The 25,550-nt window shown below is 55.4% G+C and overlaps 1 protein-coding gene across 2 annotated transcripts in view, besides 6 other annotated features; it reads left to right on the forward strand.

Moving 5' to 3' along the window:
• BICRA (BRD4 interacting chromatin remodeling complex associated protein) overlaps positions 1–24,757 on the forward strand; it is a 95,082-nt gene extending 70,325 nt beyond the window's left edge. For both annotated transcript variants that reach the window (NM_015711.3, NM_001394372.1), the window contains exons 6-15: positions 801–2,756; positions 3,456–3,632; positions 15,595–16,206; positions 16,380–16,560; positions 16,845–16,954; positions 17,931–17,992; positions 20,114–20,262; positions 20,445–20,539; positions 20,783–20,885; positions 22,808–24,757. In NM_015711.3, the coding sequence (NP_056526.3) occupies positions 801–2,756; positions 3,456–3,632; positions 15,595–16,206; positions 16,380–16,560; positions 16,845–16,954; positions 17,931–17,992; positions 20,114–20,262; positions 20,445–20,539; positions 20,783–20,885; positions 22,808–23,895 (4,533 nt within the window). In that variant the 3' untranslated portion in view covers positions 23,896–24,757. The remainder of the gene's footprint in view (positions 1–800; positions 2,757–3,455; positions 3,633–15,594; positions 16,207–16,379; positions 16,561–16,844; positions 16,955–17,930; positions 17,993–20,113; positions 20,263–20,444; positions 20,540–20,782; positions 20,886–22,807) is intronic.
• Positions 14,548–15,107: an enhancer, noted in NCBI's record as "H3K27ac-H3K4me1 hESC enhancer chr19:48196325-48196884 (GRCh37/hg19 assembly coordinates)". NCBI's record gives its function as "activates a minimal SCP1, AML or CMV promoter by ChIP-STARR-seq in naive H9 embryonic stem cells {active_cell/tissue: H9 hESC(naive)}" and the evidence as "EXISTENCE:reporter gene assay evidence [ECO:0000049][PMID:30033119]".
• Positions 15,108–15,665: an enhancer, noted in NCBI's record as "H3K27ac-H3K4me1 hESC enhancer chr19:48196885-48197442 (GRCh37/hg19 assembly coordinates)". NCBI's record gives its function as "activates a minimal SCP1, AML or CMV promoter by ChIP-STARR-seq in naive H9 embryonic stem cells {active_cell/tissue: H9 hESC(naive)}" and the evidence as "EXISTENCE:reporter gene assay evidence [ECO:0000049][PMID:30033119]".
• Positions 20,035–20,577: an enhancer, noted in NCBI's record as "H3K4me1 hESC enhancer chr19:48201812-48202354 (GRCh37/hg19 assembly coordinates)". NCBI's record gives its function as "activates a minimal SCP1, AML or CMV promoter by ChIP-STARR-seq in primed H9 embryonic stem cells {active_cell/tissue: H9 hESC(primed)}" and the evidence as "EXISTENCE:reporter gene assay evidence [ECO:0000049][PMID:30033119]".
• Positions 20,578–21,118: an enhancer, noted in NCBI's record as "H3K4me1 hESC enhancer chr19:48202355-48202895 (GRCh37/hg19 assembly coordinates)". NCBI's record gives its function as "activates a minimal SCP1, AML or CMV promoter by ChIP-STARR-seq in primed H9 embryonic stem cells {active_cell/tissue: H9 hESC(primed)}" and the evidence as "EXISTENCE:reporter gene assay evidence [ECO:0000049][PMID:30033119]".
• Positions 20,578–21,146: a biological region, named in NCBI's record as "Sharpr-MPRA regulatory region 9389".
• Positions 20,852–21,146: an enhancer, noted in NCBI's record as "tiled region #9389; K562 Activating DNase unmatched - State 12:CtcfO". NCBI's record gives its function as "activates a minimal TATA promoter and a strong SV40 promoter by Sharpr-MPRA in K562 cells {active_cell/tissue: K562}" and the evidence as "EXISTENCE:reporter gene assay evidence [ECO:0000049][PMID:27701403]".
• Positions 24,758–25,550: the final 793 nt, after the last annotated feature.

The following is a 25,550-nucleotide window of genomic DNA, read 5'->3' on the forward strand; positions in this document are numbered from 1 at the left end:
CCGGGACCAGTGGTGACAAGCTGAGGCCTGGGGCCACCACCAGCGGCTTTCCTGAGGGTGCCCCGCTGGGTCTTACTCTTGTCACTTAGGCTGGAGTACAGTGACACAATCATAGCTCACCGTAGCCTGGAACTCCTGGGCTTAAGAGATCCTCTCACCTCAGGCTCCCAAAGTGCTAAGATTACAGGCGTGAGTCACTGTGGCCTTGAACAGTAGTTTTTTTTATTACATTTTACTGATGGGTACAGATGAAGAAACTGAGGTCAGATCAAGCACGCCCTAGGTTACACAGCTAAGCCTTGGCAGAGCTGGGATTTGATCCCGGGTCCAGCCACTTGCAGGTGGAATGTTCTTTTTTCTTTTTTTTTTCTTTTTTTCTTCTTTTTTTTTTTTTCTTCTCAAAGTCTTGCCCTGTCACCGAGGCTGGAGTGTAGTGAAGTGCTCGTAGCTCCACTCTGCAGCCTCAAACTCCTGGGCTCCAGTGATCCTCTCACCTCAGCCTCCCAAGTAGCTAAGACCACAGGCACATGCTGCCACCCCTGACTAATTTTTCTTTTTTAAAATTTTTTTCTCACTGCGTTGCCCAGGCTGGTCTCAAACTCTTTGGCTCAAGCCATCCATCCTCCTACCTCAGCCTCCCAAAGTGCTGAGATTACAAGCGTGAACCACCATGCCAGGAGGGAATGTTCTTTCTTGAACGTGGCTGCCCTGTCACCTCAGCATTCTTTGCGGCAGCTGTGGCCTAAGCGTAGCCCCTTGCTAACCTCAGCTCTTTCCTTCCCACCTTTCCCGGCCTGCAGCTCCATGTGCAAGAAGCTTCCGGCAACCACCTGAACCCAGAGCCCAACCAGCCGGCCCCCAGTGTGGACCTAGACTTCCTGGAAGATGACATCCTGGGCTCTCCTGCGACAGGGGGCGGCGGCGGGGGCAGTGGGGGCGCTGACCAGCCCTGTGACATCCTCCAGCAGAGCCTCCAAGAGGCCAACATCACGGAGCAGACGCTGGAGGCCGAGGCTGAGCTGGACCTGGGTCCCTTCCAGCTGCCCACCCTGCAGCCTGCGGATGGCGGGGCAGGCCCGACGGGCGCTGGAGGGGCAGCGGCCGTGGCTGCGGGGCCCCAAGCCCTCTTCCCAGGCAGCACCGACCTGCTGGGGCTGCAGGGCCCGCCTACCGTGCTGACCCACCAGGCCCTGGTGCCGCCCCAGGACGTGGTCAACAAGGCCCTGAGTGTGCAGCCCTTCCTGCAGCCTGTGGGCCTGGGCAATGTGACACTGCAGCCCATCCCGGGCCTCCAAGGCCTGCCCAATGGCAGCCCTGGGGGTGCCACGGCGGCCACACTGGGCCTGGCGCCCATCCAGGTGGTGGGCCAGCCCGTCATGGCGCTCAACACGCCCACCTCCCAGCTCCTGGCCAAGCAGGTGCCCGTCAGCGGCTACCTGGCCTCGGCGGCTGGCCCCTCGGAGCCCGTGACGCTGGCGTCGGCCGGTGTCTCGCCACAGGGGGCTGGCCTGGTCATCCAGAAGAACCTCTCGGCCGCTGTGGCCACCACGCTCAATGGGAACTCTGTGTTCGGAGGCGCGGGGGCCGCCTCGGCTCCCACCGGGACGCCCTCGGGACAGCCGCTGGCGGTGGCCCCAGGCCTCGGCTCGTCGCCACTGGTCCCGGCGCCCAACGTGATCCTGCATCGCACACCCACGCCCATCCAGCCCAAGCCCGCGGGGGTGCTGCCGCCCAAGCTCTACCAGCTGACGCCCAAGCCGTTTGCGCCCGCGGGCGCCACGCTCACCATCCAGGGCGAGCCGGGGGCGCTCCCGCAGCAGCCCAAGGCCCCGCAGAACCTGACGTTCATGGCGGCGGGGAAGGCGGGCCAGAACGTGGTGCTGTCGGGCTTCCCCGCGCCTGCGCTGCAAGCGAACGTCTTCAAGCAGCCACCGGCCACCACCACCGGAGCGGCCCCGCCGCAGCCCCCCGGGGCCCTGAGCAAACCCATGAGCGTCCACCTCCTGAACCAAGGCAGCAGCATCGTCATCCCCGCCCAGCACATGCTGCCGGGCCAGAACCAGTTCCTACTGCCTGGCGCCCCGGCGGTCCAGCTCCCGCAGCAGCTCTCAGCCCTGCCGGCCAACGTGGGCGGGCAGATCCTGGCGGCCGCTGCCCCCCACACAGGTGGACAGCTCATCGCGAACCCCATCCTCACAAACCAGAACCTGGCGGGCCCACTGAGCCTGGGCCCCGTGTTGGCCCCCCACTCCGGGGCCCACAGCGCGCACATCCTCTCCGCCGCTCCCATCCAGGTGGGCCAGCCTGCGCTCTTCCAGATGCCCGTGTCGCTGGCGGCGGGCAGCCTGCCCACGCAGAGCCAGCCAGCGCCCGCCGGGCCGGCCGCCACCACTGTCCTCCAGGGGGTCACCCTGCCCCCCAGCGCCGTGGCCATGCTCAACACCCCCGACGGCCTGGTGCAGCCGGCCACCCCTGCCGCTGCCACCGGGGAGGCCGCGCCTGTCCTCACGGTGCAGCCTGCCCCCCAGGCGCCCCCCGCGGTCAGCACACCCCTGCCCCTGGGCCTCCAGCAGCCGCAGGCGCAGCAGCCCCCGCAGGCCCCCACCCCACAGGCCGCCGCCCCGCCTCAGGCCACCACCCCCCAGCCCAGCCCTGGCCTGGCGTCTAGCCCGGAGAAGATCGTCCTGGGGCAGCCGCCCTCTGCCACCCCCACGGCCATCCTCACTCAGGACTCCCTGCAGATGTTCCTGCCCCAGGTAAGCAGGGCGGGGCAAGGGAGCAGGTACCGGAGGAGGCGGGTTTGGGAGGAAGAGGGGTCCTGGGGCGAGGCGCCAAGATCCAAAAGTGGATGCCACTGTGGCAGCTGGGGGGGGAAGGTCTCAGTCATGGCACAGGTGGCCCCTAAGAGGAGGCCCGAAGGGTGAGGGCCCTGGCTGAACTGGCAGGAAGATGGATTGGCAGGTTGGCTGACTGATAGACAAGGGGCAGGACAACTGTTAGGCAGTGAGAGGGACTGGCAGACAGACAGACAAAGAGAGGGACCAGTGAACAGACAGAAGGGTAGGCACTGGCTGGGCTGCTGACAGATGGAGAGGAGAGGGACCGGCAGGGAGAGGGACTACCCGACGGACAGAGAAGGGCAGGCACTGGCTGGCCTGCTGACAGACAAGGAGAGGAATCTCAGAGAGAAAGTGGACGAGACAGGGACAGAGGGACAGGCAGGTGGGGCAGGAGAGAGGCAGGGCAACGTGGAGCTGGCAGAGGGGCCAATGGGAGCTCAGAATGGAGCAGGCTGCCTGGGTTTCGGCCTCTGTGCCTGGCACCCTGCCTGCCAGGCTGCCCACTACCCCATTCTCTGGAACCCTGGGAGCGTCAATAGGGGCAGGGGTCTCGGGTGGGGAGGTCGAGGGCCTGTGGGGGCGGCTTTCTGATCCTGTGCGGGCTGCCCGTTGCAGGAGAGGAGCCAGCAGCCCCTCTCCGCAGAGGGCCCCCACCTCTCCGTGCCTGCCTCGGTCATAGTCAGCGCCCCGCCTCCCGCCCAAGACCCAGCCCCAGCCACCCCCGTCGCCAAAGGAGCTGGCCTCGGCCCTCAGGCCCCCGACAGCCAGGCTTCCCCGGCTCCGGCCCCCCAGGTAGAGGGACCCCAGCAGCCTGTGTCCGCAGCACAGACCCAGCCTCGCCCCTCCTGCCCGCTCTCCCGCTCCTCGCTCTCCGCCCTGCCTGCGTCTCTGTTCTGCTGACTTGGAACACAGAGCTCTCCTTCACCCCCCAAGTGTCTCCTAGTGATCATGGATGCCTGAGACCAGGGCCGGCCCTGGGGGAGCCCACGCGCTGCAGGAATGCAAGACACACACGGAAGGAAATCTGTTCTTTCCTAAAATTATAATTTTCAAATCTGAATAAGTAATACATTCAGATAATTCACATTTCAAACGGTACAAAAAGATGCATAGTGGAAAGCCCCCGTCTCCTGAACCGTGGCCTCCTGTTGTCCTCCCAAGGTGGTTTCTTGCATTTGTTATCTGGATAGGGAAACAGAATCAAATAGATTCTTTTCCTTCAATTTTTACAAAAAGGGTAGCATCTTCTGCCTGCGGTATTGCATCTTTTATTATTTAAAAATTGATCTTGGAGACCATTCTTCATTCTCTCTCTCTTTTTTTTTTTTTGAAATGGAGTCTCACTCTATCACCCAGGCTGGAGTGCAGTGGCGCGATCTTGGCTCACTGCAACCTCCGCCTCCGATGTTTAAGTGATTCTCCTGCCTCCACCTCCCGCGTAGCTGGAGTTACAGGTGCCCGCCACCATGCTGGGCTAATTTTTGTATTTTTAATAGAGACGGGGTTTCACCATGTTGCCCAGGCTGGTCTTGAACTCCAGACCTCAAGTGATCCGCCCGCCTCAGCCTCCCAAAGTGCTGAGATTACATGTGTAGGCCACTGTGCCTGGCCCCATTCTTCATTCTCTTGTGTGACTGCGTAGTATTCCACTGTGTGGGTGTGCGGATATTTATTTAGCCAGTCTAAATTGTTGTTAGGTTTTTAGGTCACTTCTGATCTCTAGCTATTATGAACAAGGCTGCAAAGAATGCCTTTGTATGTATGTCGTTTTGTAGGGTAAGTTCTTCAAAAGGAATTTGCTGGCTCTAAAGGCATATGCATTTTTATCTCTGACAGACATTGCCAAATTGCCGCCTGTGGAGTGTAAATTAGTTTAACCTTTATCAGCAATATGTGGTTGTGCCTTTTTTCCCCCGCCCCCCGCAACCTCACCAGTATGTTGAACTTGGCCAATCTAGATAGGTGAAAAATAGTATCTTGTTTTGTTTTCATTTGCATTTCTTTTATTGTGAATGAGGTCGGGCAGATTTTCATAAAAGTAAGAGCCATTTGTACTTTCTGTTCTATGAAACTGCTCATACCCTTTGCCATTGTAAAATCTGGGTTGCTGTCATTTTGCTGTAGATTTGTAGAAACTCTTTACATATTAGGAAAATTAGCCTTTTGTCTTAAAGTAATAACCATTATGCTTACGAGTCATAACATAACAGGTTAGGGAGGGCTACGTTCTTTTTTTTTTTTTGAGATGGAGTCTCGCTCTGTTGCCCAGGCTGGAGTGCGGTGTCGCGATCTCTGCTCACTGCAAGCTCCGCCTCTCGGGTTCACGCCATTCTCCTGCCTCAGCCTCCCGAGTAGCTGGGACTACAGGCGCCCGCCACCACGCCGGGCTAATTTTTTGTATTTTTAGTAGAGACGGGGTTTCACCATGTTAGCCAGGATGGTCTCGATCTCCTGACCTCGTTATCCACCCGCCTCAGCCTCCCAAAGTGCTGGGATTATAGGCGTGAGCCACCGCACCTGGCCTACCTTCTTATTCTAGAGCAGTGAATGTGGTACTCATTCAAAAAAGACCAGTGGATAGGTAGGAAGAGGAGAGTGTGACAGTGACAAGGGCAGGATGGCAGAAGTCAGCACAGGCTTTGACCTCGAACGGCCATGGTTTCACTTGCACGCTCTCCCACTTACCATTTAACCTTCAGCAACCAGTTTTTCATTCCATCAGCAGGTGCCTAGGCAGGCTGAGGGAGCACTTAGGTGGAGTAAACGAGTTACTATATGCTTAGCACAAAGTAAGCACTTGATAAATGTTTGCTTTTATTATTATTACTATTATCTTGAGGGGGACAGAGTCCCACTCCGTCGCCTAGGCTGCAGTGCAGTGGCAAGATCTCGGCTCGCTGCAATCTCCACCTCCTGGGTTCAAGTGATTCTCCTGCCTCAGCTTCTGGGTAGCTGGGATTACAGGTGCCTGCCACCATGTTTGGCTAATTTTCATATTTTTAGTAGAGATAGTGTATCACCATGTTGGCCAAGCTGGTCTCAAACGCCTGACCTCAGGTGAACCACCTGCCTCGGCCTCCCAAATTGCTGGGATTTACAGGCGCCCGCCACCATGCCTGGCTAATTTCTATATTTTTAGTAGAGAGATGGGGTTTCGCCATGTTGGCCAGGCTGGTCTCAAACTCCTGACCTCAGGTGATCCACCCACCTCAGCCTCCCAGAGTGCTGGGATGACAGGTGTGAGACACCGCGCCCGGCCTAGCACTCTCTCATTTAAACCTCACCACCTCCACCAGGTAGGTGGTAGCATCTCATTTTGCAGGTGAGGAAACAGAGGCACAGGGAGAATAATTAGCTTGCCCAAGGTTGCACAGCTGGCAAATGGTAGGGCCTGGATTAAAAACCCTGGGGGCTTATTGCTGGAAACACCTGAAGTCTTGAGAAAGCCAGACCTGGGTGTGAATCCAGCTCTGCTTAGTGGAGCTCTCTGAGGCATGGATTTTGCATCTAAAATGGGAATAAGCCCAGTGACCTGACATGATGGCACTGCACAGAGCCAGCGCTCAGTGAACAGACACTTACTGTTAGCAGTTGCAGTAATGATGCTGTAGCTGAACTTATTTTTTTGGAAACAGGGTCTGGTTCTGTCACCCAGGCTGGAGTACACTGGTGCAATATTGACTCCTACAACCTCCGCCTCCCATGCTTAAGTGATCCTCCCACCTCAGCCTCCGAAGTAGCTGGGACTACAGGCATGTGCCACCACGCACAGCTAATTTTTTTTTTTTTTGTATTTTGTTTTGTGGGGGAGATATGGGGTCTCACTATGCAGCCCAGGCTGGTCTCGAACTCCTAGGCTTAGTAATCCTCCCACCTTGGCTTCTCACAGGGCTGGGATTATGGACGTGAGCCACTGTGCCTGGCCACGCGGATGACCTTTGAGAAGGAAGCTTAGTGCGCACAGGCAGGTGTGCACACGAGCTGATTCTTAGTCACACACAGAGGCTCGGAGGCACAAGGTAGGGCCCTCCGCAGTAGCTGTATCTGCAGCAGTGGGGACCCAGCATGACAGAAGGTGGTCAGTGAATGTTTGTTGGGTGAGCAAATGGATGGACAGATGGATGGCTGAATAGACGGACGGATGGATGGCATGGGTGGGTGTGTGACTGGGTGATTGGCCAAGTGTCCCCTGGTGGGGACAGAATCATCCAGACTGGGAACCGCTATCCTGTGGATATGCAGGAATGCACGGAATAGCAGTTCCCAATCTGGGTGATTCTTACTGTTTGTAAGAATAGTGGTTCCCTTACTGTCCGAACTCCAACCCCTGCACTCGGAAGGAACTCTGTGCTCTCTGTACCCAGATGGATTTGGCAGCCTCTGTGTGTGTGTGTGTGTGTGTGTGTGTGTGTGTGTGTGTGTGTGTGCGCGCGCGCGCGCATGCGTACATTTTCCCTTTGTGTTAACACAAACAGAAATGCAAAGACTGTGTTCTGCATCTGGCTTTGCTTATTTAGCAACGCATCTTGGAGCACTGGCTTTCAGACCTTTTTTTTTCCTTGACCCACCACCCGGGATAAGAATTTGTTTTTTTTTTTTTTTCTCTGTCACCCAGGCTGGAGTGCAGTGGCACGATCTTGGCTAACTGCAACCTTCACCTCCCAGGTTCAAGCGATTCTCCTGCCTCAGCCTCCCGAGTAGCTGGGACTACAGGCGCACGCCACCGCATCCAGCTAATATTTGTATTTTTAGTAGAGACAGGTTTTCTCCATGTTGGCCAGGCTGGTCTTGAACTCCTTACCTCAGGTGATCTGTCTGCCTTGGCCTCCCAAAGTCCTGGGATTACAGGCATGAGCCACCATGCCCGGCACAAGAATTTCATTTTATGTCACCACCCAGGACATGCATACATATATGTATTTGTATATATACACATATCACTGAAACAAAAGTTTCATGAAATATTACCTATATTACAATGTGTGATACACATCAATATTTTCTATTTTGTTTCCATTGTTTTTTCTGGGGTTAGCGGGGAGGCATGGAGTCTCCCTCTGCTGCCCAGGCTGGAGTGTAGTGGCACTATCTCGGCTCACTGCAACCTCCACCTCCCAGGTTCAAGCGATTCTCCTGCCTCAGCTTCCCAAGTAGCTGGGATTACAGGAGTGCCCCACCATGCCAAGCTGATTTTTGTATTTTTAGTTGAGACAAGGTTTCACCATGTTGCCGAGGGTGGTCTCAAACTCCTGACCTCAGGTGATCTGCCCACCTTGGCCTCCCAAAGTGCTGAGATTACAGGCGTGAGCCACTGCGCCCAGCCTCTACTGTTCTTTTTAAGTGCTGGTTCCAACTCCCTAAGATGACTTGAGCCATTACCAATGGTTACTATGTGTAGGGGTGTGTTTTTATTTTTGGGGGTTTTTTTGCAAGCTACCATCTGGGAAGATTGCTGTGATGTGGGAGTTAGGAAATAGGACTTGGCCACTTACAGGCCCTGTGACCTTCAGCAGGCTGCTTGCCTCTCTGTTGTACCACGGTGTCCTTGCGTGCAGAATCAGAATGATAGGAACAGCGGCTACTTTGTAGAGCTGTGAGGGTTAAATAAACTAATATCTGTAAATTAATAGATGTATATTAACATTAAAATGTTTTAGAACAGAGTTGGGCATGTTGAAAGAGCTATGAAGGGAAAGAAGCCAGGCAAACTTTCTTTTTGCTTATTTGATTTTTATTCATTTATTTGTTTATTTTTCTGGGCAACTTTCTATAAAGAGGCAATAGTAAACGTTTCAGGCTTTTGCGGGCCATATGGTCTCTGTTATTATAGCACAAAAGCAGCCACAGACCATATGTAAATGAATGAACACGGGAGTGTTCCAATAAAACTTTATTTAAGGACACTGAAATTGGAATTTCATGTAATTTTTGCAAGTCACGAAATAGTATTCTTATGATTTTTTTTCTTCAACTGTTTAAAAATGTAAAAATTATTCTTGGCTTGTGGGCTATAGTTTGCCTCTTTCTTTTGATGTCTTTATTGTGTTTTGTGATATGGACATACCATTATTTCTTTATTCAGTCCCCTCTTGAGGAATACTTCAGGTGGTTTATTTGTCATTGTTAACAAACAAAACTCCTATAAGATATTCTTGACTGAGCGTGTTGGCTCACACCTGTAGTCTCAGCACTTTGGGAGGCCGAGGCGGGCAATCACCTGAGGTCAGGAGTGTGAGACCAGCCTGGCCAACATGGGGAAACCCCATCTCTACTAAAAATACAAAAATGAGCCAGGCGTGATGGTGGGCACCTGTAATCCCAGCTATGCTACTTGGGAGGCTGAGGCAGGGGAATCCCTTGAACCTGGGAGGCGGAGATTGTAGTGAGCCTAGAGAGGGTTGCAGTGAGCTGAGATCGTGCCACTACACTCTAGCCTAGGCAGCAGAGTGAGACTCTGCCTCAAAAAAAAAAAAAAAAACTTGCACCCATGCTTTGCACACAGGTATGAAAGTACTTGTAGGGTAAATTTCTAGAAATAGAATTGCCAGACGTAGATGATAAGCTTTCCAGCCATTTTGTGGAAAGTGCTAAACCTTTTTGAAAAGGTTCATGCCAGTGATGGCTTCACTTGGTCCTGCAGCTTTACTGACACACGAGATTAGCAGCTGGCCTGTTCTTTGCCAGGCTGGAAAGTGACACACCCCCTGTGCTTTTCTCTAATTGTGTGTGAAGTTGAGCATCTTGCCGCCTCCACGTGGGGCTCTCGAAATCTCTTGGAAGCTGGGCGTGGTGGCTCATGCCTGTAGTCCCAGCTACTCAGGAGGGAGGCTGAGGCAGGAGGATCACCTGAGCCCAGGAGTTTGAGGTCAGCCTGAACAACATAGCGAGATCTCATTTCTGAAGAAAGAAAGAAATGGAAGGAAGAGAAGGAGGGAATCTCTTGGTGAACAATCCACTCATATGTTAGTTTTTTTGCTTTGGGAAGCTAAGATGGGGGATCACTTGAGGCTAGCAGTTGAAGACCAAATAATAATAATAATTTTGTGCTCATTTAGAGAATGTAGAAAATACAGAAAAGAACAAAGAAGAAAAATAAGTCACATGTAATACCACTGTGTGCAAGCAGTTGGTAAAAAAAAATTTTTTCTGGCCAGGCACAGTGGCTCATGCCTGTAATCCCAACATTTTGGGAAGCCGAGTTGGGTGGATCACGAGGTCAAGATATCGAGACCATCCTGGCCAACATGGTGAAACCCCGTCTCTACTAAAAATACAAAAATTAGCTGGGCATGGTGGTGTGTGCCTGTAATCCCAGCTACTCAGGAGGCTGAGGCAGGAGAATTGCTTGAACCCGGGAGGCGGAGGTTGCAGCAAGCGAGCTGAGATTGAGCCACTGCATTCCAGCCTGGGTGACAGAGCGAGACTCCGTCTCAAAAAAAAAAAATTTTTTTTTCTTTGTTTTGTTTTATTTTTTGTTTTTGAGACAGAGTCTCTCTCTCTCTCTCGCCCGGGCTGGAGTGCAGTGGCGCGATCTCGGCTCACGGCAACCTCTGTCTCTGGGATTGGAGCAATTCTTCTGCCTCAGCCTCCCAAGTAACTTGGATTTACAGGCACATGCCAGCAAGCCCGGCTAATTTTTGTATTTTTAGAGAGACGAGGTTTCACCATGTTGGCCAGGCTGGTCTTGGACTCCTGACCTCAAGTGATCCACCCGCCTTGGCATCCCAAAGTGCTGGGATTACAGGTGTGAGCCACTATGCCAGGCCTAGCTTTGTTTTTTCTAAGACAAATATTGTAGAAGAAGTAATATTTTGGTATGAAGTTTCTGTTTAACCCCCCGACCCCAATTTTATTTAAAACATTTTTTAAATAAGTCATTTTATTCACATAGTATGATCATCAGAAAGTTTTTTTTTCTTTTTTTCCAGAGACAGGGTCTTGCTCTGTTGCCCAGGCTGGTCTTGAACTCCTGGGCTCAAGCAGTCCTCCTGCCTTGGCCTCCGAGAGTGCTGGGATTACAGGCATGAGCCACTGAGCCTGGCCTAATTTATTTTTATTTATTTTTTCTGAGACTGAGTCTCTCTCTGTCGCCCAGGCTGGAGTGCAGTGGCAAGATCTTGGCTCACTGCAAGCTACGCCTGCTGGGTTCAAGCAGTTCTCCCTGCCTCAGCCTCCGGAGTAGCTGGGATTACAGGTGCACACCATCCCGCCCTGCTAATTTCTGTATTTTTAGTAGAGACAGGGTTTCGCCATGTTGGCCAGGCTGGTCTTGAACTCCTGACCTCAGGTGATCCGCCTGCCTGGCCTCCCAAAGTACTGGGATTATTATAGGCGTGAGCCACCACGCCTGGCCACCTGGCCTAATTTTTGTATCCCTTTCCAGTTCTTCGTGTATATACAACCTAGTGCAAATATGGTTTACGTTTCTCTCCCATTTGTACCCAAAGGGGAGCTCATTATGTACTTACTGTGGCAGCAACAGTGAGTTTGCTTGTTTTCTGTTAGAGTCTTGAAGTATTCCTTTGTACAGAAGAGCCACAGTTCATTTCCCCAGGAAATGCCATATTGATGCACTTTAGACCATATCCAGATTTTGGCGTTCTACACGAAGCTGCAGGAAACAACTTGTTCACCTGTTTTGTTTTTGTTTTTGTTTTTGAGACAGAGTTTCGCTCTTTTTGCCCAGGCTGGAGTGCAATGGCGTGATACTGGCTCACTGCAACCTCCGCCTCCCAGGTTCAAGCAATTCTCCTGACTCAGCCTCCCTAGTAGCTGGGATTACAGGTGCACGCCACCATGCCCAGCTAATTTTTGTATTTTTAATAGAGACGGGGTTTCACCATGTTGGCCAGGCTGGTCTCAAACTCCTGACCTCAGGTGATCCACCCGCCTCAGCCTCCCAAAGTGCTGGGATTACAGGTGTGAGCCACCGCGCCCGGCCTACTTGTTCACCTGTTATTTCCCACATATGCAGGTCTGTTTACTTCCTGGAAGCCTGTTTGCTGGACTAAAGCAAATGTGCATTTATAACTTGGATAGCTACTGCTGAATTGCGTTCCTCTTGAGTTGTAGCAAATTGTGCCAGTTGAGACCCCTAAGGGCAGTATATACAAGCATCTTTACTAGACATAGGCTTTATTCCTAATGCGACGGGTGGTAAATGGTACCCTAGGGTGAAAAATAGTGCCCTGGGGTGCGTTTTGCTGTGCATTTCTCTTATTACAAGTGAGGTTGAGTAGCTCTGAAAATACTTAAGCCTTTTGTCTTTCCTTTTCTGTGCACTGTCTGATCATATCCTTTGCCCCTTTTTCACCAGTTGTAATTCTTAGTGATTTCTAGAGTCTCTCTATATATGAGAGAGATGAACTTTGTATTTGGAGTTGCAACTGTTTTCCCCAGTAAGTCATTTGGCATGTGACTTAATTTGTGGATTGTGTGTGTGTGTGTGTGTGTGCGCACTTTTGATGAGAATGAAATTAAATTTTTTTAATTTTTTGGTATCTTTAAGCTTTTTATGTTTAAATGACTTCAAACACATAAAAAGTTTCAGAATTAGTACAGAGAGCTCATAGGAGTTCTTTACTCCTCAACTAGATGTATTAGTTATCTATTGCTATGCAGGAAATTACCCTCAAAACTTAGCAGCTTCAAACAGCAAGTATTCACGTGTCTCACACTGTTTCTAAACATTAGGAATCTGAAAGCAGCTTAGCTAGGAGGTTCTAGCTCTGGATCTCCCATGAAGTTGTGGTCATCTGAAGGTCCCACTGATCTGGAGAACCTGCTCCCACGCTCACTTGTGTGGCTATTAGCAGGAGGCCTCAATTGCTTCCTCAGTGGGCCTCTCCAAAGGGCAGCACATGACACACAGCGGTTGGCTTCCCGCAAAGTGAGTGACCCAATAGAAACAGACAGAATGCTCAGGATGGGAGCCGCAGGCTTTTTATAACTAATCTTGGAAGTGTCATATAATCACTTCTGCCAAATTCTATTGGCCACAAAGACCAGCATATGGGAGGGGACTGAACACAAGGAGGTGAGGATTGTTGGTGGCTGCCTCCCACGTCTACCCATTGTCAGCCTTTTGCTACATCTGCCTTGACCTTAGCATTCTCATTCTGTGTACACTTTTTTCTGAATCAGTTGAGAGTAAGTTGCAACCATTATACCCGTTTGCCCCTTAATATTTTATTTTATTTATTTATGTATTTATTTATTTTTGAGTCTGAGTCTCACTCTGTCGCCTAGTCTGGAGTGCAGTGGTACAATCTTGGCTCACTGTAGCCTCTGCCTCCCAGGTTCAAGCAATTCTCTTGCCTCAGCCTCCTGAGTGGCCGGGATTACAGGCACACATCGCACCCTGCTAATTTTTGTGTTTTTAGTACAGATGGGGTTTCACCATGTTGACTAGGCTGGTCTCAAACTCCTGGGCTCAAGTGATCCACCTGCCTTGGCCTCCCAAAGTGCTGGGATTGCAAGCGTGAGCCACCGCGGCCAGCCTACCCCTTAATATTTTAGTATAATATTTCAGCCTTGGAGAACAAGGACATTCTCTTACTTAACCATCATACTGCAAAGAAATAAAGCAGACAGCATTGACATGATACTGTTGTCATATCCTCTGTCCATAATCCAACTTTACCAGGTGCCCAGGGATCCTGTAATGTTGTATTATTCTCCTATTTCATGTAGCATTGGAGTGCCGCTGCATGTGGGCCACCTCCCTGAGCCCTTGGAACCTACTGAGTGGGCCAGTTCTCTTTTCTCCGACTCAGCGACGCACCTGCCATTGGCCATTTGAGTCATTTCTCCTTTTCCTCTATTGTAAATGCTCCCAAAGTGGGCAACCCCATAGCAAGTACTTGAATATTCTTTTTTTTTTTTGAGACGGAGTTTCACTCTTGTGCCCAGGCTGGAGTGCAGTGGCGCGATCTCATTTCACTACAACCTCCGCCTCCTGGGTTCAAGCAATTCTCCAGCCTCAGTCTCCTGAGTAACTGGGATTACAGGTGCATGCCACCATGCCCGGCTAATTATTTTTGTATTTTTAGTAGAGACAGGGTTTCATCATATTGATCAGGCTGGTCTCGAACTCCTGACCTCTGGTTATCTGCCCGCCTCAGCCTCCCAAAGTGCTGGGATTACAGGCGTGAGCCACCGTGCCCGGCCGAATATTCTTCATCACAGATTCCTGGAGGGGAATTTCCAGGTCAAAGTTGTGACCCTTTCAAAGTCCCCAGACCAAGCTGCCTTCCAGGAGGCAGTCCCACCAGCCGTACACAGCGCCAAGGACTGCGCCTCTCATCTCTTCTTAGAGGTGGCAAACCTTTTGAAGACTGATTGATTGATTGGTTTGGTTTGGTTCTTTAACTGTCAGAAGTTACTCAGGGCCCAGCTTGGAAGGGATGCTGGAAGGGCCCTGGGACTTAGAGGCCAAAGCTGGTGGTGAATCTGATGTCATGCCGAGATGCCCGGTTCTGGAGTGTGGTGGTGCTGGCTGTCCTCGGGCAGATATCCTGAGCCCTCTGAGCCTGAACTCAGTCAGCTTTGAGAAATGGCTCAGAAGTCACTGAGCAGTGTAAAGGCCTCAGTTCCGCCTTCACCAGCCTGGAGAGTCTGGACCAGTTTTGGAGCCTTGGCCTCAGTTTCTTATCTGTGAAATGGGTCCAGTGTTACCACTGCCCTCAGGGCTAGGGAGAGATCACACAAATGGATGCGGGAGGCCGGCCATTCGTGTTAGATCAGCATGAGCTGTTACTAGGATGCAGATTCTGTGACAGCAAGTATCACGGTGCCAGCCCAGTGTTGGGTGCACAGCTGGTGCCCACTGGTTACACAGTGGCTGCTCTGGTTATGATTCTTTGGGAGGAGGGTCCAGAACGGCAAGGTGCTCCGTCTGAGACATGCTTTAGGCGAGGTGGCTGTGTGCGTGTGACAGAACTAGCACCAGATCGCGTGTGCTTGCAGACACAGGCTTCATCAGAGTCTGGTACGTCGTGCACACGCATGCACGCTTGTACCTGCAAGCTCACGTGGCGCCCAGGTAGGCCTGCAGCCATGGACACACAGGCACACAGAGGCAGGTGCCCAGGACACTTAGAAGGGGGTCCAGGCCTTCCCATGCCCGCATCCAGAGGTCCACACGTGGCTGTGAACCCAGGCCTGTCCCTGTGTGGCCATCCGTATTCTCGGCAGCCCCCGTGCCGTGGCCATCAACCCCGAGCCATGGTACACAGCATCATGCTGGTGTCTCTTTGCCTTGACTTGGCTGGATGGGCTGGTGGGGGCTGGCGGCTGGGACGCTGCCCTGCCTGCCCTCCTTCCCCGCTGCTGTGCTCGCCGCCCGGCCCTCCTGCCTCCTGCTGGGCAGCGGGTGTGGTGCCCCTGCTGCCACCGCCACCACTGCCTCTGCTTCCTCTGCTGCTGCCACCCCAACCCTGCAGGGCTCGCCTTTGTCTGGGGAACTGCGAGGGGTGGGGGGAATGGGGCAGAAGTGGGGTTGAGATCGGAGGCCAGAGAAATGTGGAGGAGCTGCGGTGGGGGACAGAGGTCGAGGGCAGGTGGAGGGGGTGCTGTGGGGAATGAGAGGCGAGGGAGGGAAGGGCAGCCGTGGTGGGCTCCTCTCTCAGGATGGGTGTGGGCTAGGAAGGGGGCTTCTGGCGGGGATGGCTGGGGACCCCAGTGTCTTGGGGCAACAGGAGCTATGGTTGGTTCTGACCCCCGCCCCTCCCCTCTCCCTCCCTCCCCTGCCCAGATCCCGGCAGCGGCTCCGCTGAAGGGCCCAGGCCCCTCTTCGTCCCCGTCACTACCTCACCAGGCCCCTCTGGGGGACAGCCCCCACCTGCCCTCCCCACACCCCACCCGGCCCCCTTCCCGCCCACCCTCCCGGCCACAGAGTGTGTCCCGCCCTCCCTCAGAGCCACCCTTGCACCCTTGCCCCCCACCCCAGGCCCCCCCAACTCTGCCTGGCATCTTTGTCATCCAAAACCAGCTAGGCGTTCCCCCGCCTGCCAGCAACCCGGCCCCTACTGCCCCAGGCCCGCCGCAGCCGCCTCTCCGCCCCCAGTCCCAGCCGCCTGAGGGACCGCTGCCCCCAGCCCCCCACCTCCCTCCATCCTCCACCTCCTCTGCTGTGGCCTCCTCCTCTGAGACGTCCTCCAGGTTGCCAGCCCCTACGCCATCCGACTTCCAGCTCCAGTTCCCACCCAGCCAGGGGCCCCACAAGTCCCCCACTCCCCCTCCAACCCTCCACCTGGTCCCTGAGCCGGCAGCACCCCCCCCACCGCCTCCTCGGACCTTCCAGATGGTGACCACCCCCTTCCCAGCGCTGCCCCAGCCGAAGGCTCTTCTCGAGAGATTTCACCAGGTAACGGGAGGCAGGGACTGCCCGCCCCATCAGCCCCATCCCATCCCACCCTCTCAGTCTGATGGGAGCCCCTCCGCCTTACGGCTCTGTGATCCTCCCCAGCCCTGCTGCGTCTGGACACCCCTACACCTAGCCTATGTTCCCCACCCCTCATCCACCTGTCCCCTCCTCAGGTGCCGTCCGGAATCATCCTCCAGAACAAGGCTGGGGGGGCCCCTGCCGCCCCGCAGACCTCCACCAGCCTGGGGCCCCTCACCAGCCCCGCTGCGTCTGTGCTGGTCAGTGGGCAGGCCCCATCTGGGACCCCCACTGCCCCCAGCCACGCCCCCGCCCCGGCACCCATGGCCGCCACAGGTAGGAGAGAGGTCGCCTATGTGCCCAGGGAGACGGGGCCTGAAGATGGGTGGGCGGGGCTGAGCAGGGAGAATGGGCTGGGGCAGGGCTGTGGGACTCAGCACAGGGCATCAGCCAGAACTCAAGGGACACAGGAAGGCCAGAGGTGGCAGGGCTGGCCCCAGATTTGAAGGGCCGGAGGGCCAGGAGGAGAGCGGTGGGGTACAGGATGGGGCTCCCGTTTGAGGAGGGGGCCTTCATGCAGTGACCGCAGGCCCTGTCTCCCCCACCCCACCCACCCCCAGGCCTCCCTCCTCTGCTTCCAGCCGAGAACAAGGCTTTTGCCAGCAACCTCCCGACCCTGAATGTGGCCAAGGCCGCTTCCTCCGGGCCAGGGAAGCCCTCCGGGCTGCAGGTAAGGGGCCCTTAGAGCAGGGGTCAGGACAGGACCAGGAGTCTTCGGGAACTGGGAACTGGGGCTGGCAGGGGCAGGGAGACACTGGAAGACGCGGACAGGATGAAGCTGGGACCATCAGGCAGCTGAGACACCACGAACAGCCGTGCAGGGACAGGAAGGGCAGAATGACACCCAGACAGGCAGCCAGAGATGAGGGAGAAACACGGAGACGGTGGGACGGAGACGGCACCAAGACTACTGGCAACAGTGTAAGGGACTATGACTGGGGAAAGAGCAGGTGATATGGACACAGGACGGGAAGGACAGGGCTGAGATGACAAGATGTGAGCTCAGGACAGGAAAGGCGGGTTTAGATGAGACAGACCGGAGACGGAGCAGATCAGGGACCGAGAATGAAAGGGTGAGAGGGTGGGGACAGCTGAGGCCGAGGCCACTTGTAGATGTAAGACGTGGGGGAGACAGAAGACAAGGAGAGGAGCAGGTGGGAGGACCAGGACCCAAGAGGCCGGGAGAAGCTCAGAGATGGAGATGCCAGAATGAAGGCCAGACGCTGAGGACAAGAGGGGAAGCCAGGAAGGGAGGCGGGGGGGCGAAACGACAGGAGCCACACTGGGAGAGAGACTGTGCGAGGCAGGGGCACTGGGTGCTGGGCGGTGATGTGGGAAGCAGGCATCCGGCAGAGGAGGGAGGTCACACAGAGGCAGCCCTGGGCGAGGGGACGGAGGGAACCCAGGCAGAGGACACCCAGGGCTCCAGCCTGCCTGTCACCCTCTCCGTCCACTCCCCAGCCCAGCCCAGGTCTTCCCCTGGGGTTCATTGTGATGGGCAGGGGATCCTGTAGCTGGGGCCAGGCCCCCACCTGGGTGAGACACTGGTCCCCTGTCCCGTCTTTATCCTAGGCTAGAGGGGAAGCTGGTCGGGGGAGGGAAGGCTTCTGGAGGCAAAGGCCTCTCACTCGCCTTTCTTCTCCCAGTATGAGAGCAAACTGAGTGGCCTGAAGAAGCCCCCCACGCTTCAGCCCAGCAAGGAAGCCTGGTGAGTCCACACCCCATCCTTGCATGCCTGCCCTGTACCTTCCAGAGACCTGGGGGAGCATGGGGCCACCCTCCAGAAGCAGAGTTGGGCAGGCCCAAGTGCCAAGCCCAGCTCCACCTCTTGGTAGCGATGTAGTTCCCTCATAGACCCTCAGTTTCCCCCTCTGGAAAATGGGGTGACCAGAGAGTGGTGGAGGGAGGGTGGGCTGTGGCTCCGCCAGGCTGGGGCTCAGGAGGGCGGCAGTTTGGTCCATCCTGGTTGTTGCTGTGCCCTCCATGTCTCCCACACGGCTGGGCCGCGTCGGTGCTGAGCCCCACTGGGTGGGTGAAGTGATGGGTGGGGGAAGTGAGTGGGTGGACATGGCTGTTGGGAGGATGATGGGGGGGGTGTTTGGGGATGGATGGATGGGAGTCTGGGCGGATGGATGGGTAAATGCTGGATGCCTGCCTGCCCTCTCTCCTGCCCTCCTTCCACCACCAGGGTTTTTTGTTTTGTTTTAGGGGGGGTTCTTTGAGCCAGAATCTTACTCTGTCACCTAGGCTAGAGTGCAATGGCACAATATTGGCTCACTGCAACCTCCGCCTCCCCCGTTCATGTGATTCTCCTGCCCCAGCCTCCCAAGTAGCTGTGACCACAGGCGTCTGCCACCATGCTCGGCTAATTTTTGTATTTTTAGTAGAGATGGAGTTTCACCATGTTGGCCTCAAGTGATCCACCTGCCTCGGCCTCCCAAGGTGCTGGGATTACAGGTGTGAGCCACCACGCCCAGCCCACCATGAGTGTTTTTTTAAAAACATATAAGTCCGGGGGGCAGAGGTTGCAGTGAGCCGAGATCATGCCATTGCACTTCAGCCCAGGCGACAGAGCAAGACTGCATGCCCTCACCCAAAAAAAAAAAATTTTTTTTTATATATATTGTGGAGACAAGGTCTTACTATGTTGCCCAGGCTGGTTGGTTTTGTTTTTGTTTTGTTTTGTTTTTGGAGACGAAGTCTCATTCTGTCACCCAGGCTGGAGTGCAGTGGTACAATCTCGGCTCACTGCAACCTCTGCCTCCTGGGTTCAAGTGATTCTCCTACCTCAGTCTCCCGAGTAGCTGAGATTACAGGTGCATGCCACCACACCTGCCTAATTTTTGTATTTTTAGTAGAGACGGGGTTTCATTATGTTGGCCAGTCTGGTCTTGAACTTCTGGCCTCAGGTGACCCACCCATCTCAGCCTCCCAAAGTGCTGGGAGTACAAGTGTGAGCCACCATGCCCGGCCTAGGTTGGTCTGAAACTCCTAGTCTCAAGTGATCCTCCCACCTCAGTCTCCTGAGTAGCTGGGACTACAGGCACGTGCCACCACACTCGGCTAATTTTTAAATAATTTTTGTAGAGACAGGGTCTTGCTGTGTTGCCCAGGCTGGCCTTGAACTCCTGGGCTCAGACAATCCTTCTGCCTCGGCCCCGCAAAGCGCTGGGATTGCAGGCGTGAGCCTCTGCTTGGCCTAGGAGTGTGAATTAAGTCCCCACTCAGTGCCCAGGCCTGAGCCCCATGTTGGGAACACAGGAGTAAGTGACACAAAGTCCCTGCCCCCACAGTGCAGAGAGGCTGCTGGTTTTTAGCCGAGGGTGGAGTTGGGCCTGCCTGGTGGGGGAGACAGTCACACTGCCAACAGACAAAACCCATTGTAACATGGGCTACAAAAGCGGCCCGTGAGAAGACAGGATCCAGCCTCCCTCCCTTCTTCCCGAAGGCTGCACTTTGGAGGAGGCACGGTGGAGCCACACTGGCCCCAGGTGGCAGGAGGCAGAATAGCAGCTTCCAGGCTCTGGCCTCACTTCCCGCTCTGCTCTTCCTCCCTTACGTGCTTTGGAGAGGAGTGACTTCACTTCCTCGACCTCACCTTCCCTTTCTGTAAAATGGGGATAGCGATAGCACTGCTTTGGTCGGCCCCAGGGACTCAGTGAGATGGAACAAGCACGTTCAGTACATGGGAACACCACTGCCCAAGTATTCCCCTTCCCGCTGTTGTGTTCAGTTGCGGCCTGGGGCTGAGGGTTCAGGGACTTCCCCTGGCCCTCACCCGTCCCCCCCACCCTCCGCCGTGTGTGGTCTCTCCCCTTTCCACCCGCAGTTTCCTGGAGCATTTGCACAAACACCAGGGCTCCGTCCTGCACCCCGACTACAAGACGGCCTTCCCCTCCTTTGAGGACGCCCTGCATCGCCTCCTGCCCTACCATGTCTACCAGGGCGCCCTCCCCTCCCCCAGTGACTACCACAAAGGTGAGGCCTCCCCAGGACACGGCCCTATATGTCCCAGGGGACCCCAGCCCGTGGGGCGGGGCGTCGCCAGTGTGGAGCCGCAGGTCCACGGTGCGCTATGCTGACCCTGCCCCGCCCTCCTTCCTGCGCATCCGCGGCCGCCCCCAACATCTCCGCCCTTGCCTCTCTTCCCTTCCTCGCAGTGGACGAGGAGTTTGAGACGGTCTCCACGCAGCTGCTGAAACGCACCCAGGCCATGCTCAATAAATATCGGCTCCTGCTCCTGGAGGAGTCCCGGGTAGGGTCAGAGTCGCCTTCCTCGCCTCTGGGCTCCTCCTCGCTGGGACACTGCCCCTTTCCCTCACCCGCTCTGGGCAAGGTGGAGCCTCCCGCCCCTCCTAGCCCCGGGAGGGAGGTTGGGAGGGAGGCGGGAGCTCCCATCACAAGGACAGTTTGGACCTTGCACGCATCGTCCCCGTCGCTCGCGCCCCTTCCCCCTTCTTGCTGGTTCACTCGCACGTCGTCTTTTCCCCCACCCCAGAGGGTGAGCCCCTCAGCGGAGATGGTAATGATCGACCGAATGTTCATTCAGGAGGAGAAGACCACCCTTGCCTTGGATAAACAGCTGGCCAAGGAGAAGCCGGGTGAGAGGGGGGAGTGAGAGGGGAGGGGAGGGAGAGGTGCCCCCACCCCACCTGGGCAGAAGAGTTAGATTCAGGGCGGGGAGTGGGTGTGTGGCCCTACCTCACTCCACCACTAGGCGGTGCCCCAGCTCCACCTTCCTGCTGGCAGCTGTGCCTCCCCTGACCTCCCGCCTCTCAGACCAGATAGCCCACATCCATCTTCCTCCATCCCTGTGTGGCCCTTCCACCCCCACCACTCTGGGATGGGGGGAATATTTCTGCCACCCCCGTGGGACACAAAACAGGAGAGCAGGCGCCTAGGTTGCAAAATATATAAGGTAACGCCCACTCTTGGGTGCCAGTCCTTTGCTTGGGGACCCTGAGAGTGAGCACCTCCTTAAGTGTTGCACCTTAGGTGGCTCGCTGGCCTCACTCTAGTCTCCTGTCTGCAGGAAACGGTACAGGCAGATCCCAGCTGCCAGAGTTTCCAGAATATTCCCTTAGCCTTTGCCCACATTCCAACTCCAGGGCTTCCCTGGATAAAAGCATGGTCCCTGCTTTGTGCTGCCAGGCGCAGGCTTTTTACGTCGAGCTCTGGACCTTAATTTTGAAAAAGTAGTCATTGGTACTTAAATGAGTGCAAAGGGGTGGCCATAGTGAAGGAGGGGCCAGGAGCGAGTCTGAAGTCTCTAGGGTAGGAGAGGAAGGGTAGTTCCGTGGTTAGGGGCTCGATGCTGGAGTCTTGGTTTAAATCCTGGCTCTGCCACTTACTAACTGTGTGACCTTGGGCAAGTTACTTACCTTCTCTGTGTCTCTGTATTCTCATTTTGTAAAGTGGGGGTTATGATGATCAGCTTACAATCTCTTATCTGACACCCTCGGGGCCTGATATGTTCTGGAATCTTTTTGCTTTTAGAAAGGCAATGAGCTCACTCCAGCCTGGGCGACAGAGCGAGACTCCGTCTCAAAAAAAAAGAAAGGCAATGAGCTACCTCAATGCTGTCTTCTGATTTACCCCCAGTGGGTTTGGGGAAGCACTGTGTGATCAAACACACTAGTATTTCTGGAGTGAAATCGATGGGTATCCAGAGTAGTTGAGATAAATCATGACCATAAATAACCTCATGTAGCCGGGTGTGGTGGCTCACACCTGTAATCCCAGCACTTTGGGAGGCTGAGGCGGGCGATCACCTGTGGTCAGGAGTGTGAGACCAGACTGGGCAACGTGGCGAAACCCTGTCTCTACTAAAAATACAATAATTAGCCAGGTGTGGTGTCTGGCACCTATAATCCCAGCTACTTGGGAGGCTGAGGCAGGAGACTCGCTTGAACCCAGGAGGCGGAGGTTGCAGTGAGGTGAGATGGCGCTACTGCACTCCAGCCTGGGCAACAGATTGAGACTGTCTCAAAAAAACAAACAAACAAACAAACAAAAAACCTCATGTCATTTCGGACCAGATTTTGAAATTAGATACCTCCTTAGCCCCATTTTTAAAAAGTTATGTATATAATTAGAGCAGTGCTGTCCAATAGAACTTCATATTTTATTTATTGTTTTTTTGTTTGTTTGTTTGTAGAGACAGGGGTCTCACTACTGTGGCCAGGCAGGTCTCAAACTCCTGGGCTCAAGCGATCCCCCTCCCTTGGCCTCCCAAAGTGCTGGGATTACAGGCCTGAGCCTTGTTTTGTATTCTCTTAATTTACTTATGTCTGAATGAGCCCCACGTGGCTCGTGGCGCTGTGCCAGGCACAGTGGTTTTAGAGTTGGGGGAATTTGGGCCTTGCTGAAGAGGGTCTCACCAAGCCTATCCTGAGGATTGGAGGGTCCAGGGTGCAGTCTGGTGCCTGGCAGGTAGTAGGTGCTCACTGCACACAGCTCCTCCCAGCTCGGTCGGGGGGTCCTCATCCTAACCCCGCGGGTTTTCTTTGCCCCGATTCTGCAGACGAGTACGTGTCTTCCTCCCGCTCGCTCGGCCTCCCCATCGCAGCCTCTTCCGAGGGTCATCGGCTTCCCGGCCACGGCCCCCTGTCGTCTTCAGCTCCCGGGGCCTCCACCCAGCCCCCTCCACACCTGCCCACCAAGCTTGTGATCCGGCACGGCGGGGCAGGCGGCTCCCCTTCGGTCACCTGGGCCCGGGCGTCCTCCTCCCTGTCCTCCTCTTCCTCCTCCTCCTCTGCCGCCTCCTCCTTGGACGCCGACGAGGACGGCCCCATGCCCTCCCGCAACCGCCCGCCCATCAAGACCTACGAGGCCCGGAGCCGCATCGGGCTCAAGCTCAAGATCAAGCAGGAAGCCGGGCTCAGCAAGGTCGTGCACAACACGGCCCTGGACCCCGTGCACCAGCCCCCGCCACCCCCCGCTACCCTCAAGGTGGCCGAGCCCCCGCCACGGCCGCCACCACCACCGCCGCCCACGGGCCAGATGAACGGCACGGTGGACCACCCGCCGCCTGCCGCCCCCGAGCGCAAGCCCCTGGGCACCGCCCCGCACTGCCCGCGCCTGCCACTGCGCAAGACCTACCGCGAGAACGTGGGGGGCCCTGGCGCGCCGGAGGGGACGCCCGCAGGCAGGGCACGGGGAGGCAGCCCGGCGCCGCTGCCCGCCAAAGTGGACGAGGCCACCAGCGGGCTCATCCGCGAGCTGGCGGCCGTGGAGGACGAGCTGTACCAGCGTATGCTGAAGGGCCCCCCGCCAGAGCCCGCAGCCAGCGCCGCCCAAGGCACCGGGGACCCCGACTGGGAGGCGCCCGGGCTGCCCCCTGCCAAGCGGCGCAAGTCCGAGTCGCCCGACGTGGACCAGGCCAGCTTCTCCAGCGACAGCCCGCAGGATGACACGCTCACCGAGCACCTGCAGAGCGCCATCGACAGCATCCTGAACCTGCAGCAGGCCCCCGGCCGGACGCCCGCGCCCTCGTACCCCCACGCTGCCTCGGCCGGCACCCCCGCATCCCCGCCGCCCCTGCACAGGCCCGAGGCCTACCCACCCTCCAGTCACAACGGTGGCCTCGGCGCCAGGACGTTGACCAGATAACACCGGGCCGCCTCCCCTTCCCCGTCCCCTCCTCCCGAAGACGCCGGGACAGTCGGGTGTCCGCCCTCAGCCTCCTGGGGACTCGAGCCGGGGATCCCCTGACGGTTTTTCTTGCCTAAGTTATTTGAGTCACAAAGGCCTCCTTCCCTGCCGCCTGCTTCAGCTGGGTTGCTGGGGGGTGGGCGTGGATTTAGGGAGGGGGCTGTGATGTAAAACGTCTCCCCTGCCAAAGGAGGGGCAAAGTGCTGTGTCAGTTCCTGTTTCTTCCCATTTCCTGGCACACTCTGCCCCTCTGTCCGGGGGACACGCGCATGTGTTTGCCAGGGATGGGGCCACCGGGTTGATGCCAACGCTCCGGGTGCCTGTCTTGTCTGTGTGGCTTCTCAGATGGTGGAGGGTGCTGGGAGCTGGCAGGGTCCTTCCAGACAGTCTCAGCCTCTCCCCGCCGCCCCCAACAGGCTGTCAAACAAAACCGGAGAGGGGGTGGGGGAGCCAGCCTCCCAGCGTGCTGTGCCCGCAGGCACCCGTGTGACATCCGCACGTCCAGCTCCGTGACCTGTGTGTGTGTGTGTGTGCACAAGTGAGTGAGAGATTTCGAACGCCCACCCCTCGACTTTGAAATCTGAGCAAAACAAGAAACTGGGGTCTTCCTCTCCCCCGAACCTCTCCCCAGCTAGTCTTCCCTCTGTTCTTCCTGCCTCCAGCCGCCCGCGCCAGATTTTGAAATCTCGGAGACAAAACTAGTACTGTAAGATAAATTTTTTTGTACTGTATTTATTGTGTATAACGATTTTTTTAAAGGAGAATTCTGTACATTTAGAACTCTTGTAAATTAAAAACCGATCCTTTTTTTAAAACTGTACTCATGCCCCCTTGGCCCATTGCTTTTGGGTTTGTGAGGGTGGGGGAGTGTTTGGATCTGGGATTGTGAGGCCTTCTTCCGCATGCATCTGTTGAGCACCTGCTGAGTACCAGGCCCCGTTCTAGGCTCAGGGGGTTCAACATGAACAAGGCAGACAAGAGTCCCTGCTAAGCCGGTAAGCTGACTTGTTAGTGGGGAAGGCGGGTGGTAAACAGCTAAGCCAGATCAAGCCAGTTCTTCTTATTTCCGGTAAGGTTCTATAATCTCTGCATACACTCTGAGAATTAGTGAATACTGAGCCATTGCCCCCAGGGAGACAGGGTTAGGTTTCTAAGGGCCTCTGATCACCACAGTTCAGTCAATACATCACCTTAGTTTACATGTGTTGCTGTTTAAAAACACTTCTTTATGTATTTTTGAGACGGGCTCACTCTGTCACCCAGGCTGGAGTGCAGTGGCACGATCGTGGCTCACTGCAGCCTTGATCTCCCAGGCTCAAGTGATCCTCCCACCTCAGCCTCCCGAGTAGCTGGGATTATAGGCGCACCACCACGCTTAGCTATTTTTTTTTTTAATCTTTCTGTAGCAATGGGATCTCACTATGTTGCCCAAGCTGGTCTGGAACTCCACGGCTCGAGTGATCCTCTGGCCTTGGCCTCTCAAAGTGCTGGGAATACAGACGTGAGCCACCACGCCCAGCCCTAAAGATACCTTATTTCATTTATATTGTTGATTCATTCACATTGAAGTCATGCCAACAGCATTATAACTGGAACCTGGAGCAAGCCTATTT

The sequence above is a fragment of the Homo sapiens genome, chromosome 19, assembly GCF_000001405.40.
Source record: "Homo sapiens chromosome 19, GRCh38.p14 Primary Assembly".
Taxonomy (NCBI): domain Eukaryota; kingdom Metazoa; phylum Chordata; class Mammalia; order Primates; family Hominidae; genus Homo; species Homo sapiens.